We start from the raw sequence: 17,474 nt of genomic DNA on the forward strand, positions 1-17,474 counted from the left end.
GTTATCTCAAGCTGGCTGCCTTGCCTTGTCTGCTATCTGTGCATCTAAGATATTGCAGAGGGGAAGCCAGGATCTTTATGCACTGAAGATCTCACTATTTCTCAACCCTCTAGATCCTGTTTTTTTTTTAAGGGTCTTTTGGCACTATCTGTTGACTTTGCTCATTTTCTGGCCTCTTCTTGGATTTTTATCTCCCTTCTAGGACCTATGAGTGGAATGGGCATGAATATGGGCATGGAGGGGCAGTGGCACTACATGTAACCTTCATCTAGTTAACCAATCGCAAAGCAAGGGGGAAGTAAGTACAAATGGGGTCTTTGTTTTCACTTTGTCCTAGGAATATTTTTCCTCTTGCATTTTCTTATGTTCTCCTTGCCCATAGCTTCATGCTTGTTCATTCCTTTCCATTAAACTCCTGGTTTCTTGCTTCCATCATTTTCTTTTTGGTTGTGATCAAGCTTTTAAGCTTATAAATACTGTGTATGATGTACATTTATCCTGTGTGTTGCTATTGTACAGTACTGACCACATGACAAAACAAGAAGCAGTCAGGAGGTGGGGGAGTGGGTTGTCATAGCAACAGACTGATTTGCAAAATGTAAGCAGTCTGCAGCAGTGCAAGGAGAGGGAAGAGCATGTCCCCAAAGTGTCATAAATCTGTCTAACCGCAGTTGATGCATGAGTTACATTTCTACACTAACCTGCAAGACACCGAAAAGCTAAACAGAGACTTCTTTTAGGTAAAATAAACACAAGCTTTACTTAGGGTAAGTAAAGGCATATTTTGAGCTCCAGTCAACTAAACTTTGATTTTTTTTCTTAGTTTATTCCTTTGTCTGTCCATCATAATGGGATTACGTGTGGCAATGGGAAAAGGGAGAATACAAAATAGAGGTGTGCACAGCAGGCTGCGGGGCTTAGCCCAGGCTAATTGACTATATCCAAATTAAGTATGCCATCACTTGCAGTGTGACAAATGGATTTGACTTATTCAGTATACAAAAATAGAGATCATTAATGCAATCATCAGTGGCAGGCCTAGTGAAGTGGGCCTAGGAAAACTGTCCCAGATTCTCACTCTTGCATTTTCTCTCCTATAAAGACACTCCAGCAATTCGAGTTCAAACAAGTAAAACTGTTTTGAACACCAAGGCTCTTGTTCACTTCCTAAATTACCCCTAATAGCACTGTTCTTGCTTTGTTTTTGAAATTAAAAGCAGTTATTTCAGAGTCTTGCTTGTGTCTCTGATTATATTTATGCACTATTTAAAATCACTGCTGAGGCCAGGGGTAATTCGTACTGGTCATCTTCTCTGGGTGTGAGTCAAATATAAGTTTAACAATTAGCTCTGAAAACATTCCATTGAGCTGGGGAATGCAACAGTCTTATTACCTCATCATGGAATTCTCTAGCTTAGTTAATTTAAATATTGTTTCTTAGTTTCTGGGTCAATTAAATTTAAATGATGTATTTTATGCTTCGTGACCAATTAAATTACTAGGTTATTACAAAAAAAATTATCATCTTTTTTGATTAAAGAGCTGTGGGTACAGTATATTTTATAAGCAATTTTCATTAGTTCAAAAATGTTCCTTTAGGCTAGATTAAGCAGCCATTCATTGTTAGAGCCTGGAGACCTTATTCGAAGGTGTTCATCGTATTCACAGTGCACTATTACTTAGAACTAAAGCCAATTGAACCTACTTAGCAATAGCGTTATGCCTTTCACCCTTGATGATTATGGAGCTTATAGCTCTCAGAAACAATACACCTGTCAGTTTCCATCAACTATAGCAATCCATGCAGAAGACAAGAGGCCCCCTCAAAGCAGGAGGGGTATTGTTTTAGGTCCAATTTTTCTTATTGTTCTCAAAATCATTATAAGGTGGACAGTGTTTTGTGAAGATTTTCTTTTCCCCAGCTCTAAGAAACCATGTGGAAAGAATTCATTGATAACTGTTTTGATTTTTTTCTTTTTTTAAGTACAGGTTTTGCTAAGTAATCACCCTTAGTGAGCCTGTGTAGTTCAGCTGCCTGTGAGATGTTTGGTGACCAGCTCAGTGTATTCTTGTATTCTTGATAGAGAATATTTCAGGAGACAAAAGTGCTTCTTCAGACCAGACCTCAAATAACAATTTTATTCTTTTTAATAAATAAGACCTCAGTAGGCGGACCTGATAACAGTGACAATGAAAGGAAAATAGTGGCAAAATGTGAGTTTCCAGCATGATGTTTCTCATTTTATTTTCTTCTGTATGAATCAAAAGAATGCTTTACAAAACCATGTTCCCTTAATCACAGGGTTCTCTGGCTTTTATAGGATTGTCATAGCCAGGACCACACTATTGCTTTTTCATAACATTTTCTTTTTGTTTCTTTCTTTTGAATTTCTTACAGGGCTGCAAAGTATGCCAGGGGAGTATGTAGCCCGGGGTGGTCCAATGGGTGTGAGTATGGGACAGCCAAGTTATACCCAACCCCAGATGCCCCCCCATCCTGCTCAGCTGCGTCATGGGCCCCCCATGCATACGTACATTCCTGGACACCCTCACCACCCAACAGTGATGATGCATGGAGGACCGCCCCACCCTGGAATGCCAATGTCAGCATCAAGCCCCACAGTTCTTAATACAGGAGACCCAACAATGAGTGGACAAGTCATGGACATTCATGCTCAGTAGCTTAAGGGAATATGCATTGTCTGCAATGGTGACTGATTTCAAATCATGTTTTTTCTGCAATGACTGTGGAGTTCCATTCTTGGCATCTACTCTGGACCAAGGAGCATCCCTAATTCTTCATAGGGACCTTTAAAAAGCAGGAAATACCAACTGAAGTCAATTTGGGGGACATGCTAAATAACTATATAAGACATTAAGAGAACAAAGAGTGAAATATTGTAAATGCTATTATACTGTTATCCATATTACGTTGTTTCTTATAGATTTTTTAAAAAAAATGTGAAATTTTTCCACACTATGTGTGTTGTTTCCATAGCTCTTCACTTCCTCCAGAAGCCTCCTTACATTAAAAAGCCTTACAGTTATCCTGCAAGGGACAGGAAGGTCTGATTTGCAGGATTTTTAGAGCATTAAAATAACTATCAGGCAGAAGAATCTTTCTTCTCGCCTAGGATTTCAGCCATGCGCGCGCTCTCTCTCTTTCTCTCTCTTTTCCTCTCTCTCCCTCTTTCTAGCCTGGGGCTTGAATTTGCATGTCTAATTCATTTACTCACCATATTTGAATTGGCCTGAACAGATGTAAATCGGGAAGGATGGGAAAAACTGCAGTCATCAACAATGATTAATCAGCTGTTGCAGGCAGTGTCTTAAGGAGACTGGTAGGAGGAGGCATGGAAACCAAAAGGCCGTGTGTTTAGAAGCCTAATTGTCACATCAAGCATCATTGTCCCCATGCAACAACCACCACCTTATACATCACTTCCTGTTTTAAGCAGCTCTAAAACATAGACTGAAGATTTATTTTTAATATGTTGACTTTATTTCTGAGCAAAGCATCGGTCATGTGTGTATTTTTTCATAGTCCCACCTTGGAGCATTTATGTAGACATTGTAAATAAATTTTGTGCAAAAAGGACTGGAAAAATGAACTGTATTATTGCAATTTTTTTTTGTAAAAGTAGCAGTTTGGTATGAGTTGGCATGCATACAAGATTTACTAAGTGGGATAAGCTAATTATACTTTTTGTTGTGGATAAACAAATGCTTGTTGATAGCCTTTTTCTATCAAGAAACCAAGGAGCTAATTATTAATAACAATCATTGCACACTGAGTCTTAGCGTTTCTGATGGAAACAGTTTGGATTGTATAATAACGCCAAGCCCAGTTGTAGTCGTTTGAGTGCAGTAATGAAATCTGAATCTAAAATAAAAACAAGATTATTTTTGTCATGCTGACTCCACTGCTTGAAAAATTTGTTTACTGCCCCCCAGATTTTTAAAGATTAATACAGTAAATATAAAAATTAATTTTGGCTCCCTAAGCCATATATGTATTTGACAATTTTAACCGCAAAGTAAGTTGTTTAATAATAACCACTGATTTCTTTAAGCTGACTTAATGAACTCCTAATATCAGCAAATTTGAGGCCTAAAGGCACTAAACTAACTCTAGACTCAGAATTACATCCAACAGAATTACTCATCTAATATCAGTGAAATTATTCTTGCACATAAAGGCAAACCTAAGTACAAAGTTAAGTCTTTTACTAAAGGATGTTACCTAGGATGAGCAGTATATGTTTATTAGGAAATTAACTACATGAATTGAAGAGACCAGACTTCAAAATCTAATTTTTATAAATATGCTCTATGTTCTCATTGGATAAAACTGGTTATTAACCAATTTTCCAGAACAGCTGTACAAGATTTCTGCATGGCAGCCGGCTAAATGGTAGAAAATAATATGTTTAAGCTGGAATAGCTTATAATTTTATTTAAATAAAATTGCTGCTATAAAAAGTGCTTCCCAAAGCTAAGGAAAATATACAAATATTTTAATTAAGGCAAATTCGTTTTAAAAAATAAGCCTTTCAGTAGTGATTGCTTTGTAAACAAAGGATGGGTCGGAGGAGAGAGAGCCTTAAACTCAAGTCTGACATTCAGGCCCAAGTCACCCTATAAACCGGCCCTTAGCAATTCTATTTTCTATTCGAAAAGAGAAACCAGCTGTGGGTTGGCTTTACTAGGTGATGTGTGATTGACTGACTCACCTGCTGGAGTAGCAATGCATTCTCACCTTTTGCTGATGGGGCCTTGTTTCTAAACACGTGGATGCGCAGAGAGCAAGGCTCAGCCTACTGCAGCCATCTCTGGCAGCGCTTCTACCCCTCCCCAGCCCATAGATGGGATTGTTTAAATCTCCCTTGTTGACCTAGTGGCAATTCTTCCTCTACCTAAATAGTCGATGTGAGTGAAATCATTCTCTTTTGATAGGTGGTTGCTAGCAGTTAACAACCATTTATTTACTTTAACAATTAATAATAAACTTTATAAACTGTCTATTTGCTCCTCCTCTCCAGTACATGCCCGGGTGAGTTGGTTATTTTCAGCCTTTATTCCTGAGGAGGCTCAGGATGGGTGGGGGAGGGAAAGAAAGGGGAGGAGGTGTGGTGGGGAGAGGGAGAGAGGCGAGAGGGAGAGACAGAGAGAAAGAGAGAGGCGCTAGGGGAGGGAGGTTTACAAGTGAAGAGTAGTTAGGGAATATGGTGACTCTGAAGAATCGAGATCAGCAGTGTCCAGGAATTAGAAAAAATAAACTGCTATTTCCGTGAGTTCCCCCTCTGTGAGCCATTTAGGTGAGAGCCTCGCTCTTCGCAGTTCCTTTCTTCCCCTGCCTCGATGCCCTCCCCTCTTAATGCTATTTTAGCTTTTCCTCTTGTAAATTTCAGAGCCAGCTCGAAGGTTATTGAGGACACTTATCCGAAAGAGGCAAATAATAGAGGTGCTGAGAGTGTTTTTGATGTTTCCTAAAAGGCAAAAACAAAACGCCCTCCTCTAAACAAGGGCACAAAATTGTACCTGGTTTTTATTTTTATTTGGTGGTGGGGGGGTGGGGGGGTGGGGGGGGGGTGGAAAGGGGGCTGGCTCTGGCTGAATGAGACTACTTTTTAATATGATTTAAATTTTTTTTTCAAAAAATTAAAAATATTTTACCCTATCATATTTAATCAGCTGTAATTATAACACATTCAAAATGAATAATATGCCTTGACAGTATTTTTATTGTTATTGTTCATTGCATGATGTTCGACTGCTTTAGAAGCACAGGAAAGAGAAGTAAACGCGCTACAAATGGGGAATTACCCTCGTTTAGCATTAAAATTCATTTAGATAAAATTGCCACAAACATTTAAATGGGAAGATTAGTTCCCCCTCACGCCTTATTGCACTCGCTCAATGGTTCCGTTAAGAACATTTTACACGTTGGAAATTCCGTCTTCTCAGACGGCTTGCTGTTTCCTAGTTACCCACATTCAAAGCAAAGGCAGCAGCAAAGGCAGCCGCAGCAGCAGCAGCAGGGAAAAAAAAAAAGTTTTGGCAACTGGTCTGCAATTCATCCGCTGCTCGCCCCAGTCTCCCCTCCGCCCGCTGCAGTCTGCCCCCACCCCTTCCCCTTCCCCACCCCTACCTCTTTCCCCTCATTATGTAATTCGCAGAGTCCAGTCCTCGAGGAAACACGTTGCCTAGTTGTGTAGTATTTATATACAATGTTAAAATACAAAGAAAGACCCTAAAGTCAGTCGAGTCGGTTCCTCTCTGGGTCTCCCTCTCCCTCTCCTGTTCTAAAATGAAGATTTAGCTTGAATGTGCTGAGTTTCTCACATCCCGTACCCTGAGGCCACAAGGCACGTTTTTTGGCTTTCATTTCTGCCAGGACTTTTCCAGGAAATTCACCACTGCTTTTCGCTTGTATTAGAAACGTGTGAAAGAATTCGTCTGAAAAGTCCATGCACCGTCTAGCTTTTCTCTCCCCCCTTTTTTTCTTCTCCTTCTCCTCCTCCTCCTTCTCTCTCTCTGTCTCTCTCTCTCTCTCCGCCCCCCACTCTCGCACTCCCCCATCCTCCTCTCTCCCCCTCCCTTCGCAGAGCCACAGGAAAAGAGGAAAGTCGGCTTCGACTGCCATCTTTTGGGGATTTCGAAAAACGACTCGGTAGGAAACGGAGGGAGGCGGAGGCGCGGGAGTGGGGGAAACCCCCTTATTATCCAGTGTCGGAACTGGCTCCCTTAATCTGATGCTTAAATATTTGATGTGGAAAAATTACCCATAAAATTAGTTACTAACAATTTCAAATTGAAATCACTTATCGAATTATAAACGCATTAAAGCTGTATGGATGGTATTAGGAGTTCCTCGGGAGGCAGCGGGTGTCTCCTTGAAGTGAGCCAGGCGGGCGAGTTTCGCCCCGGGGAAAAGAGCCCCCAGCCGAGCCCGGGGGCAAGGCCGGGAGGGCGGCGCTGCAACCTGGGCGCAGGGTCCGGGTCAGGGGGATCGAGCGGGCGGCCGGGTCCTGGTGGAGGCTGCGGCTGCTTCGGCTCGCGGGGGCGGGGAGAAGGGGAGGGGAAGGAGCCTTGGTGGGAGGCTCCGACCCCGGAGCAGAGGCGCCTACCAGCAAACTTCGTAGTGAAGTCGAAGGATTCTGAAAAGGAAAAACGCAAGCCCTGCCCTCCCCCTCCCTCTCGCGTCTCCCACGCGGCGTGCAGACTTCGCGCTCGACTTTGCGATCGGGGTTAGTTGCTGTGTGCAGTGTCCCCCAAGTCTGCGGGAGGAGCGGAAGGGTATAGGCTCCAGTCCTGGGGTTGGGCCCGGCTCCGTGCCCCGAGAGGAAATCCAGCGGGCAACTGCGCAGAGCTCCAGCCAGGACGTGCTACCCCTGAGTCCCTCGATGCGCTGGGTCCCGGCCTAGGCCCCAGTGCGTGGGCGGGCAGGTCTTTGCCCAGAGACCACAGCTCTGGTCGCGGGGGGTGGCGGGGGTGGGGGGGCTGCACGGGCGCCTGCCTTACCCTCCTGCCCTCACCCCCATCTGAGTCTAGTCTAAGGGACTGTTGACTTTGTCTCTGGAGATGGGGCGACCAGGGGTCTGCGAAGGAGGTTGTGGAGAGGCACCTCCTGGGTGCAGGTCCGGGCGCTCTTTCCTCGGAACCTCACGGAGTGCTTTGTAGTAGCCTGGAGACTTCCTAATAGACTTTGCCACATCGGGGGCCCCAGACTCCAGAGTCCCATAGTGGCCCTGGGAGCGCGACCCAGAGAGCCTGGGGGCTGGAGGGCACATGGAACGCGTGCACGGCCCACTAGGAGGGCGTTGGGAGGAGAGTGCCCGAGTCTGGAGCCGCAGCCGGGAAGCCGTAGACAGCACCCCGACGCCTTAGGCAGAAGCTCCTCAGGATCACTTTAAAAGCTCTGCAAACTTTCCCCAGCCTTTCGGATACCCTCAGGCCCTTGGCCCACCGGAAGGCAGTAAAAACGTAACTTCATGCTGCAAAGCTCCCGGGTAGGCGCTTGGACGCCGATGGAGAGAGGCGTGGAACTGGGTAGTGGGGCGCCCTGCCTGGCTGGGCACTTTTCCTTGTCTCATTCTCGTCTCCCATGCCATGCCTTACCCACTGGCTGCTAGCGGCGCGTTTCACTTAAGGTGGCCACGGTGCGGAGACTACAGGAGCCTGGGAATCCCAGGGTTTGGGGAAAAAGTAGTGAGCGAGAAAGGTGGGGTCGGGGACCTGAGGAAGACAGCTGATGGCTGGGAGAGGGAGGGCTCCCTTTTCGGCCCGCTCTACCCGCCAAGGAGTCTGAAACATTCTCTCCCTAGGCGGAGCTGAAAGGAAAAACAAACAACGTATTGAGCAATCAGTTCGCCAACATTTGAGCTTTAAAGCGCCTTTGCTCTGAAAATAGTACCCTGGGGGTCTCAGTGGGGAGATGGGGGAAGCATTTTTAGGGCCTTGATTCTGGCTTGCCGCGCCCCACGGGTCACCCCTCCGCGCGCTGCCTCCTGACATCCCGGCGCTCTCAGCCCACTGAGGGGAAACCCGGGCGGTGCAGCCCTGGAGAAAAGGGATTTAGTTTTAAGCCAGTCTCCCATCGATCGGGTCGGTAATTTCTACCCCTGCCCACTCGCAGACACACTCACCTCTACCCTAAAGCATTAAGGTCATTACGCGAGCAATGATCTTAATTTCCAGGCGGAAAACGAGTCCCGGGACCTCGCCGATTGGGGAAGCAGTGAATAAAGTCACCTGCTTCAGGCACCCGCTTGGCCCGCTCCTCCCGGTGGGGGCCGTGTGTGGCAGGGAGCGCCGAGCGGGGGTCCCTAGCTCCACGCCGAGGCGGACCGGGCAGGGGTCAGAAACCCTGTGTCTGTTTTCTGCGGGGTGACGACCTCCTGTAAGGGTGGGATTGCTTTTGCTTGCTTTCCTTCTCCCCTCCCTCTGCCTTTCTTCCTAGGCCTCCCTCACATCTCAGTACTCTTTCTTCCTCCTCCCCTCCCCCAAAGTGGCAAGTTCCCCTTCTCCACCTAGTGTCCAGAGGTTCTGCCCCTCTCCTAGTCCCCCGCTGCCTCAGGGCCGTCGCAGAAGTCTGGTAGCCCGACGCCTTTTTGCGCCCATCTACCTCGCCCACCTTTCTGGGCATGGGTGGGGTGGGGAATGTTCAGTGAGGCCCTTTTGAAGCCGCTTGCTGAGGGCACCCTGAGGCTTTAAAGAACCAGATTTCTCGATTTAGGGACGATCTCTGCGCCCATTGATAACTCCATCCCAAAGAAACCCAGCACAGCAGCAAACACCCCCAGCAGTCGCCTGCTCCTCAGCCCCCGCCTTGGCACAGAGCAGCGTCTGGCACTGCGGGGAGATGGAGGCGAGCCACGCGCACCCGTTCCCTTACTGGCCGACCCGCGAGGCGCCAGCTTGTTCTGGAGACTCAGTTTCCACTGGACAAAAGCAGGGGAAACACAACGCAAGGGCTGTGCAAATCCACGTTCCCGACGCCCCTCCACCCCATCCCAATCTGATTTTTGAGACGTGCATTTTCAGGTAGTCCTAAACTGTGAACAGCGAGCTTTGTGTGTTATCTAGTGGGGGTGGGGATGAAAGGGGAGGAGACTCCCACTGCCCGTTCCAGTCTTTAATGTTTGAAATAACGAAATGCCTTGTGTAGCAGCTGCTGCTTGAGCCAAAACTAACTCTTTGGAAGACGGAAAAGAGTGAAAGGCAAAGAAAGACTGTTCATTTTTTTTCTTTTGGTGCCGTTTGGGATGTCATCTGTTTCCTTGGCGACTGTGTTCAGCCCCCGGAGCCCCTGGGCTCCTGGATTGTTAGGGGGGAAAAGCATGCTATTTCTGCACCGTCATTTATCACTGTCACCGCATAATGATTCCCCTTGCAGCCCCTTATTGATGTTTGTAATTGCATTATCTCATAAAGGAGGATGATCAATGAAACCGAGCCGTGCATTCTGGGGTCAGAGGAAGCCAAAGTACTGTTTGTCCCCTTTAATACAACAAGTACTCATTATCTTTAGGTCTGCATTCAAAAAATGATCTGATCTAGGGCTGACCCTGTCGGACATCCCAACACTTTCTAAAACGCGGTTTGTGTAACCTTTTGCTTAAATGCTAAATCAAGTACCTGTCTTGCATTTCAACGAAACAAGATGCTAAAACTGAATGAAAAAAAAGCATTTCTTTTTTTTTTTTCCCCCTGGGAGGGGTGCGATCGTCTGAAGGTGCATGAGATTTTACACTGTAACTGCTTGGTAATATAATACAGAAAAGGCAATCCCAATCCACATGAGTCCTAATAAATAGAAAAAAAATTGGGGATGAGGGGAAAAAGGCAGGTAGCTGGGAGCTTTTAACAAGGTCGGTACTAAAAGATCAGAATAAAACCACATCCAGTTTAATTAATAATAGCTATAAACTGAAATAATTCCCCATGATTCTGCCCTTGCTTCTCCTTTTTACAGAGTCATATCTCTTCAGTTTAGAGAAATGACTTTTGTGGCTGTTCGATTCTCACAACAACAATAACTAAATCAGTTGCACACTGTTATCTAAAACCATCTACAAACTCCAGCAAATAAAAAGAAGTTCATTTGTCTATTAAGGCAAGCATTTAGTTGAGCAGAAATATCCCAGTAACACTGAATAGAGTTCGTGTAATCCTATGGAAATCAAGTCATCTTGTTGCACTGAAGTAAATGAAAAAATACAAAGGAGAAAAGGTCCAAGTGTAATTGTAATTTTAAACTAAATGCATTATTGGACTGTCACAGTGAAAACGTGATTGTTCGGCTGCGGGGGGGGGGGCGGGGGGCGGCGAGTGGACATAAACTTAGCTCACATTTAACTTAAAGGTTTCAGAAAGGAAATATGTATTCCATATTTGGTGATCATTTGTGGAAAGAGGAGAAATTGAAACAATTCTAACCCATCATTTTAGTATACTAGGGGGAATCATTCCTTCAAAAGCAGAATTAAGCAAAAAGCTTATTTTAAACATTGCAAGTCTGTATTAGCAGAAAAAAAAAGTTTCAAATTTTCTGAAAATGTATGTCCTCTCTATGTTAATAAGATGTTGACAGAGAGAAAGAGAGAGAGAGAGAGAAACTAAGTTCAGGTGTTTTATTTTTTAAGTTCTAGATACTTCTAAATTAACGATATAAATTAATGTTTTACATAAAAAGATCTAAATGAAAAGTTTTCATTATAGTTGAGAAAATGAGTACTTAGAGTGTGCTCTGATAATTTGACACATTGACATAAAACCTTAAATTGAATAATAAAACAAACGGCTAAAATATTCCCCCTTGGAAAAATAACTTTAATAATAAAGCTAGAAAAGTTTTAACTGTGTTGAACCATCACTTTTTTCTCTGGAAGGCAGATTATCCTAAAGAGTATTATTTTCCAGAAATTCTGTCAAGGCACTTTGAAATAATATATGTTTGTATTATTTAATATTCTGACACTTCCGTTCTTTGAAAATGCTCAGACTGGAATGGATACGTAGCCATGCATATATTTAATATAAATGGTATCTTGTCGTTAACATAAAATATTAAAGAGAAAATAAAACTTTGGGCTTTGTCAGTTAAGATAGAATTTTTTAGCATAATACTCTGATTTTCAAAACATAAAATTGAAACCCCTTGATTTTAACCAATCAACACAAGTCTTTCTCTTATTTGGTTGGGGATCTGCATCATATACTCTTTCTATTTTTAATATTTAGTGTTGTAGCCCACTGTTAAAATAATGAAAAATTAGTCTCGTTTCAAAATTATTTATTTATGGAACGAACATGATTAAAACATAAACACACAAACTGCAGCTGCAACAGAAAAAAAACTTGATTTATGGTTATTAAATCTTTGATCGCCATGTTAATGTTTCTTTTTCTACCTTTCATTTGCATTTTAATCTATCGAATCTTTACAGTTTTGCTGCCTCCTATTTCAATGATTGATTACAGATCTGAAATAAGAAAAACCAAGCCTAGCTTTTCTTTTCCTTTCTTCGCTTTCTTTTTTCTCTTTTTCTTTTCCCCCCCTCCCTTTCCCCCCGGGTAGATTTCTGAAACTTTCTCTCAATGCTAATGTAGACAGGACAAATTAATTCTGCTCTTTTAAATGTCAAAGATATAAATAAAAAATGTTTTCTGTCCCAAACGTGAATATTTTCCCAGCTGCTTGTTTTCGAGTCGTAAAAGATCATCCCAGCAAAATGCAATTAACAGCGAAACACACACACATACACTCACACACTCGGCGGTGCGGAATTTTTTTAAAGGACGTGTTGTTCTGAGTTGAAGAAAGGTGAGAAGTTCACCGTCCCTTCACCATCAGTAGCCTCGCTGCGGCTCTCCTCTCTCTCTCTCTCTCTCTCTCTCTCACACACACACACACACACACACACTTGGAGGTTTGGTCCCTAGTTCTATCTGTGATCTAAGTCACACAAACAAAAACAAGCTTGGTGGCAGCTTGTTGTTGTTGAGTGTTGTTGAGTTGATTTCTTGAGATAAGCAGTGTAAAGACAAAAGGGGGAGCGATGCAGGTCTGTTTGTTTTCTTTCCCCGCCGCCCCACTGTCCCTTTTCTCGTCTCCCCGCGCACCTCCCCAGACGCCCTGCCGGGGTGGCTCCGCGGATGAGGCGGTCATTTGCTGTCCGCTTTGCGGGGACGGGTCACTTTCCGCGCTGGCGTGAAAGCAAATGTGGAGCTGCTTTTGGAAGGCGCCGGCCGGACGTCGGCTAGGCTCCTTCTCCCCGCGGGCTGGGGGCCCTGGGGCTCTGCAAGGCTCTGGCTCCGAACAGATTGCGCCTCCCGCCTGGCTGCCAGTAGGAACTGGGGTGGGAGCCGCGTAACTAACAGTTGCGCGCAGGAGGCGAGCCCCAGGTGTGAGCGCAGAGGCTCTCTCCCCAGCCCGCGGGTCTGGGAACCTTTCAGGACGCCTCCCTCCCCAACTCCTACCCATGCGTCTGCTCCCTAGGCCGAGCCCCCCTCGTGAGGTTTTAATGACCGCGGACGCAGGGGAGCCCGCACTTGAGCGAGGACCGACTTCTCTGGCGGGTCCACGCTGCTCGCGCTTGCGTCCGCGGGTAGCGCGCTGTGCCCGGGTCAGGGGGCGAGCTGCGAGAAGTAGGAGGGGTCAAGACCCCCAGAAATCCCTCCATGGGCACACACACAATCAAGAATAGGGTTGAGGGTCTTGAGAGGTAGAACTACCCTAGGCAGGGCTTCTCCAACTCGGCCTTTGGACCCCGCGCGCGCCCAAGGGCGTGCCCACCGCGGAAGCACAGATCATCTTCCCGGGACTGGGTCTCCTGGACCCTGCGTTGCTCCCTTTTTCCTAGCGGCCCCGTAGCTGGCTGCCGCATGTAGGGCGATCTTCATTAACTTGGACGCCCAACGTGATTGAAATAGAGAGGAGGAAAAAACACATTTGATCTGGGCCGACCCTTTGTCTTGAAGCAGATTAGGCAGCCTAGAAATAGGAGGAAAAACAGAAAGTCTAGGCAGGAAAACTTATTGTGTTCACAACATATAAAAATGATCCGAGCGGTCTGGTACCTCAAGGGGTGAAGATAGATCCTTGTAGACGAGTGTGAAGACATGACTGGGAAGATTTAAAGTGAAAGAAACGGCAGATTATTAAGAAAGTAATAGTAAGGTGTCCCATACACTACAGTTTTATTGTTGGGTAGTAACTACCCGATTTATTTATTGCCGGGGCTATATAATAGAGATAATGACCACAAACTCAAGATAAATTCTTATGCGCCCAGCCGGTCAATTCTTTTTTATTTAAGAGAGTGAGCCTGAAGGGTGAGCCTCATCCCCTCCCCTCCTCGAAGATCCGTCTTGCTTTCTACCATATTATAAGCATGACATGCAAATAAATAAGTGCTGCTGGGTCTGTGTGGGTAGGCCGGCAGGATTTATTTCAGGTGACGGAGGAACATACACGGAATATGAATTTCCGCAGGAGTGGCGCCGTGATTCCTTCCCTCTCCCTCTCGGCCGCCCTCTCCTCAGGGTCTCCCTCCTTTTCTGTGGGAGCAGAGAGCATCCCCTGTTAAAAACATTAACGTGTCATGTCTCAGCTCCCTATTCCTTGACATATAGGTCTGGGGAGGGATGGGGGCACTGCAAAATGCAAAACGCATGCCCAAAGTAGGTTGACTTGCTGGGACTGCTCAAAGCGATTCTGGTGGACAAAGAGAAGGGTGAGTTGTAATTATGACTTCCAGTAGGGGAGCAGTATAGGAAGTATGTTAATATCATTTTGAAATATGCACAATGGTCCAAAAGTTTACTGTCCCGGATCTGGCATGGGTCCTCCCCAGCCGGATGGACCCCAAGGGGAGCCCTCCTGGCACCTTGGGACATGCCCGCCTCTCTTGGCCCTCGGTTTCTCTCTCTGGGAGCCAGGTAAACACCCCCCTGGCCAGGTGATGGAGTTAAAGATGACCTTGCTCGTTGACCGCCAAGGTCGGAAGAGAGCTGGCGGCCTCAGGTGTAGGTTCCACCTGACGCCCTGGCTGCAATCATAGTCACCGGCTGGCCTTTAAGGGGGCGGCCTCCCAGAACTGCTCTCCCCACCTGCACTCTGCGACCACTCAGGCAGATCCGGAACCTGCCAAGACGAAGTCAGTCAGCATCCTCTTCCGATCTTCTTATTTTCTTCCTCATTTTTTGGATAATATTCAGACATACAGTGTTTCAGTCTCACAATAACCACTTACATGCAGAACTTCCTTTGATCTGTTTGGCCAGAGTCGGGGGGAAACACCTGACAGTGAAGAACTGCGATGAAAAAGAGGGGTTCAGGGGAGATGGGAGAGCCAGACGCGTGGGGCGAGGGAGAAGGAGGTGCGTGTGGGGAGATGGAGACCTAGAGACAGCAAGAAGTAGCAGATGGGGGAGGAAGGTAAGGCGAGAAAGTGAAGAGCAGCTGCGAGCGGGAAGAGAAGGGGCTGCTCCTGTAATTTGGTGGTTTGTGTGAAGGATGGTATTATGAGGCTGAAAGAGAGGACAATCCTCGTCAATCTTTTACAATATTGGTGTCATTCAAGCACAACTTTATCTTTGAACCAGATTATCTGTTCCAATGATTTCCATAAGAACATAAATTATAACCTTCAGAGCCTTCAATATTTCTTTCGGTACTTTATTAAGTGTTGTTGCAGAGGCTATTTATGAAGTGAGTGATTCAACTTTTAATCTTTTGAACATTAAAGTGTATTCCTCCGAGTTTCCTTTTCAAAATAATCTAAAATAACAAAAAGAAACTAAGCTCATTACATGAAAAAGTGACAAGCGTTTTTGCTCGCAGCCTGGCAAGTTGCCTTATTCACTTCAAAGGATGATGAACTAATTGTTTCCAGAGTTTATAAGTAATTAAGCTATTATTTGGGGAATTTATGTAACAGTTTTATTCACATTAGAACTTTCTATTTAAAATAGCCTGAGACAAATCTTCAAAAATGCCAAGATTTTAATAATTGAAAAGCCTTCTCATTATTGTTAATAGTGAAAACTATTTTTATTTTAAAAAGCACTGGAAAATGTAAACAAATATAGTTTTCTCCAGAGTATATGATAAGTGGAGATCATTATGGATAATTAACGCTGAAAGGAAAATGAACATGTAATGGCTTCCAAAAATTAAAACATTTGTAACTATCAAGTTAAGTTCTAAAAAGTTAATTTTTAAATCAGCTGGATTTATCTAAATATGCCTGGCAAGGAAAAAGATATATATATATATATATATATATATATATATATATATATATATATATATATCTATTTACTGTCCTTTTAGAACTCTATAAAGAAAGTTTAAAACCTTAAATAATTTTAGCATTTTTAAACCAACTTTTGGTGCCTAGGCAATAAGAGTTAATGCCCAGAAATGCTAAGTGCTGTAGTTTCTCCAATTTTGCAACAAAGAAATATATTTATTCACCCCTAGATTAAAATAAAGAAAATATTCTAAAAATCTTTTGAAATATATAATTCAAACACCACTTCCATAATATTTCAATGCATGTTTGTTAGTTTTAAATAATTAGGTTTGCCATAAATGAAACAAAATTCATTAAAGGAAAAAGTAGGACTTTAAAAGGAGTGATGAATTATTTTGTAAAATTCAGCAAAATATACAACACTTTAGTTTAATAGGCATTTGTATACATAACAATATACCATTTTAATATAATTTTCCCATCAAGGTGGTATTAGCTCTGTGTGTTAGAAAATGCCTGTTTCATTGTCACATGAAGAATTTCAAAAATAATAAAATTTTCATATTAGGAGGAAATATCTTTGAAGAATAACAAACACAAATGTGAAAATCCAAGTAAATGCCTATAAAATCTTATATGAGGTAAAATATATTTTCTGGAAGTTATCTGGAAAAAATTAAAGCATGTGGTAGTTCAATATTAATTCCCCTCACCACAAAAAAATTGGGAGTTGTCTGTAGCAATTATTACAAGAGGTAGAATATATGTATTAAATAGAAAAAAAAATTTAGGACATATCCACTTGTTTCAAGTAAAATTCCTCTAAAACAAAAGTCTGGAATTTGATGGAAATTGTATATAAAATGCTTTGTATAATTCATGGTCAGTGTTGTTTTGTGGACTCTGTATAAACTGTGGCAATTTAGATCTGTCATGGTATCACAATGTCTGATTCAATATTTGCTGTAATATGTTCTCTTTATTAGTACAGACTAGCATTGCATTATTAAAAACAAAAACTAAAGCACCCTGGTTAGTAGTAATGCAATCCCAATGGTCTAACACCCTGCGATAATTGACCTTCTGGACACCAGACACTGGGATTCACTTTCAGACACTTAGCTGTTTAAACTGACTTCATTACAGGAGGACAATGGTGACTCTGTTGCAACTGACACCTGCACTATTTCACACAACGCATGGGCCATACCTTGCCAAGTCAGCCACCACCATGATTCGCACCAGAGCAGGAAGTCAGCTCGAGACAAATTTTATAATATGAATATACTGTTACGATTAAGGAGAAATGAATTCGTTTTGCATAGCCCTCTACAATCTTAAGGAGACAATTAGAAGCCTGTTTTCTGGTTTCCTTGTGTTACAATATTGCCATATGCAAAGATGTTTCCATTACTTTACGCTGAAGTTTAAAAGTTAAGGATTTTATGGTACACAGCATTCAAGGTGTCCATAGTAATACAGCATATAGATAGAAAAATACTGTTGTGGGAGGCTGAGGCAGGAGAATGGCATGAACCCGGGAGACGGAGCTTGCAGTGAGCCGAGATGGCGCCACTGCACTCCAGCCTGGGCGACAGAGCAAGACTCCGTCTCAAAAAAAGAAAAAGAAAAATACAGTTGTATCACACCTATGTCCTAGTTGAAAAGAGTCCATTAGTGGAAAGGTTTGGGGGGCGGAGGTGGTTAGCT

The 17,474-nt window shown here is 43.8% G+C and overlaps 1 protein-coding gene and 1 long non-coding RNA gene across 2 annotated transcripts in view, besides 11 other annotated features; both read left to right on the forward strand.

The window, feature by feature from the left end:
* The window catches only part of MEIS1 (Meis homeobox 1), a 138,745-nt gene extending 133,723 nt beyond the window's left edge, over nucleotides 1-5,022 (forward strand). Inside the window, exons 12-13 of the mRNA NM_002398.3 lie at nucleotides 203-298; nucleotides 2,399-5,022. Of these exons, the coding sequence (NP_002389.1) occupies nucleotides 203-261 (59 nt within the window). The 3' untranslated portion in view covers nucleotides 262-298; nucleotides 2,399-5,022. The remainder of the gene's footprint in view (nucleotides 1-202; nucleotides 299-2,398) is intronic.
* Nucleotides 47-2,127: an enhancer, noted in NCBI's record as "E9 enhancer". NCBI's record gives its function as "enhancer in posterior lateral mesoderm, heart" and the evidence as "EXISTENCE:transgenic organism evidence [ECO:0001131][PMID:24022755]".
* Nucleotides 47-4,022: a biological region, named in NCBI's record as "HHc2:067135 enhancer in MEIS1".
* Nucleotides 363-763: a DNaseI hypersensitive site, noted in NCBI's record as "HS 134 kb; the nucleotide coordinates are approximate for this feature". NCBI's record gives the evidence for it as "EXISTENCE:in vivo cleavage assay evidence [ECO:0001075][PMID:24097337]".
* Nucleotides 633-677: a conserved region, noted in NCBI's record as "conserved_region; HoxA9/MEIS1 module". NCBI's record gives the evidence for it as "COORDINATES:sequence alignment evidence [ECO:0000200][PMID:24022755]".
* Nucleotides 2,106-4,022: an enhancer, noted in NCBI's record as "HHc2:067135". NCBI's record gives its function as "enhancer in hindbrain" and the evidence as "EXISTENCE:transgenic organism evidence [ECO:0001131][PMID:22448256]".
* LINC01798 (long intergenic non-protein coding RNA 1798) overlaps nucleotides 5,183-17,474 on the forward strand; it is a 121,559-nt gene continuing 109,267 nt past the window's right edge. Inside the window, exon 1 of the long non-coding RNA NR_110156.1 lies at nucleotides 5,183-5,318. This is a non-coding gene — a long non-coding RNA (long intergenic non-protein coding RNA 1798). The remainder of the gene's footprint in view (nucleotides 5,319-17,474) is intronic.
* Nucleotides 5,928-6,928: a DNaseI hypersensitive site, noted in NCBI's record as "HS 140 kb; the nucleotide coordinates are approximate for this feature". NCBI's record gives the evidence for it as "EXISTENCE:in vivo cleavage assay evidence [ECO:0001075][PMID:24097337]".
* Nucleotides 5,928-10,996: a biological region, named in NCBI's record as "HHc2:067347 enhancer downstream of MEIS1". NCBI's record gives its function as "regulatory_interactions: LOC111258501 | MEIS1".
* Nucleotides 6,417-6,872: an enhancer, noted in NCBI's record as "E3 enhancer". NCBI's record gives its function as "weak enhancer in K562, U937 cells" and the evidence as "EXISTENCE:reporter gene assay evidence [ECO:0000049][PMID:24097337]".
* Nucleotides 7,985-8,785: a DNaseI hypersensitive site, noted in NCBI's record as "HS 142 kb; the nucleotide coordinates are approximate for this feature". NCBI's record gives the evidence for it as "EXISTENCE:in vivo cleavage assay evidence [ECO:0001075][PMID:24097337]".
* Nucleotides 9,277-10,077: a DNaseI hypersensitive site, noted in NCBI's record as "HS 143 kb; the nucleotide coordinates are approximate for this feature". NCBI's record gives the evidence for it as "EXISTENCE:in vivo cleavage assay evidence [ECO:0001075][PMID:24097337]".
* Nucleotides 9,387-10,996: an enhancer, noted in NCBI's record as "HHc2:067347". NCBI's record gives its function as "enhancer in hindbrain" and the evidence as "EXISTENCE:transgenic organism evidence [ECO:0001131][PMID:22448256]".

This window comes from Homo sapiens, chromosome 2 (genome assembly GCF_000001405.40).
Source record: "Homo sapiens chromosome 2, GRCh38.p14 Primary Assembly".
Taxonomy (NCBI): Eukaryota; Metazoa; Chordata; class Mammalia; order Primates; family Hominidae; genus Homo; species Homo sapiens.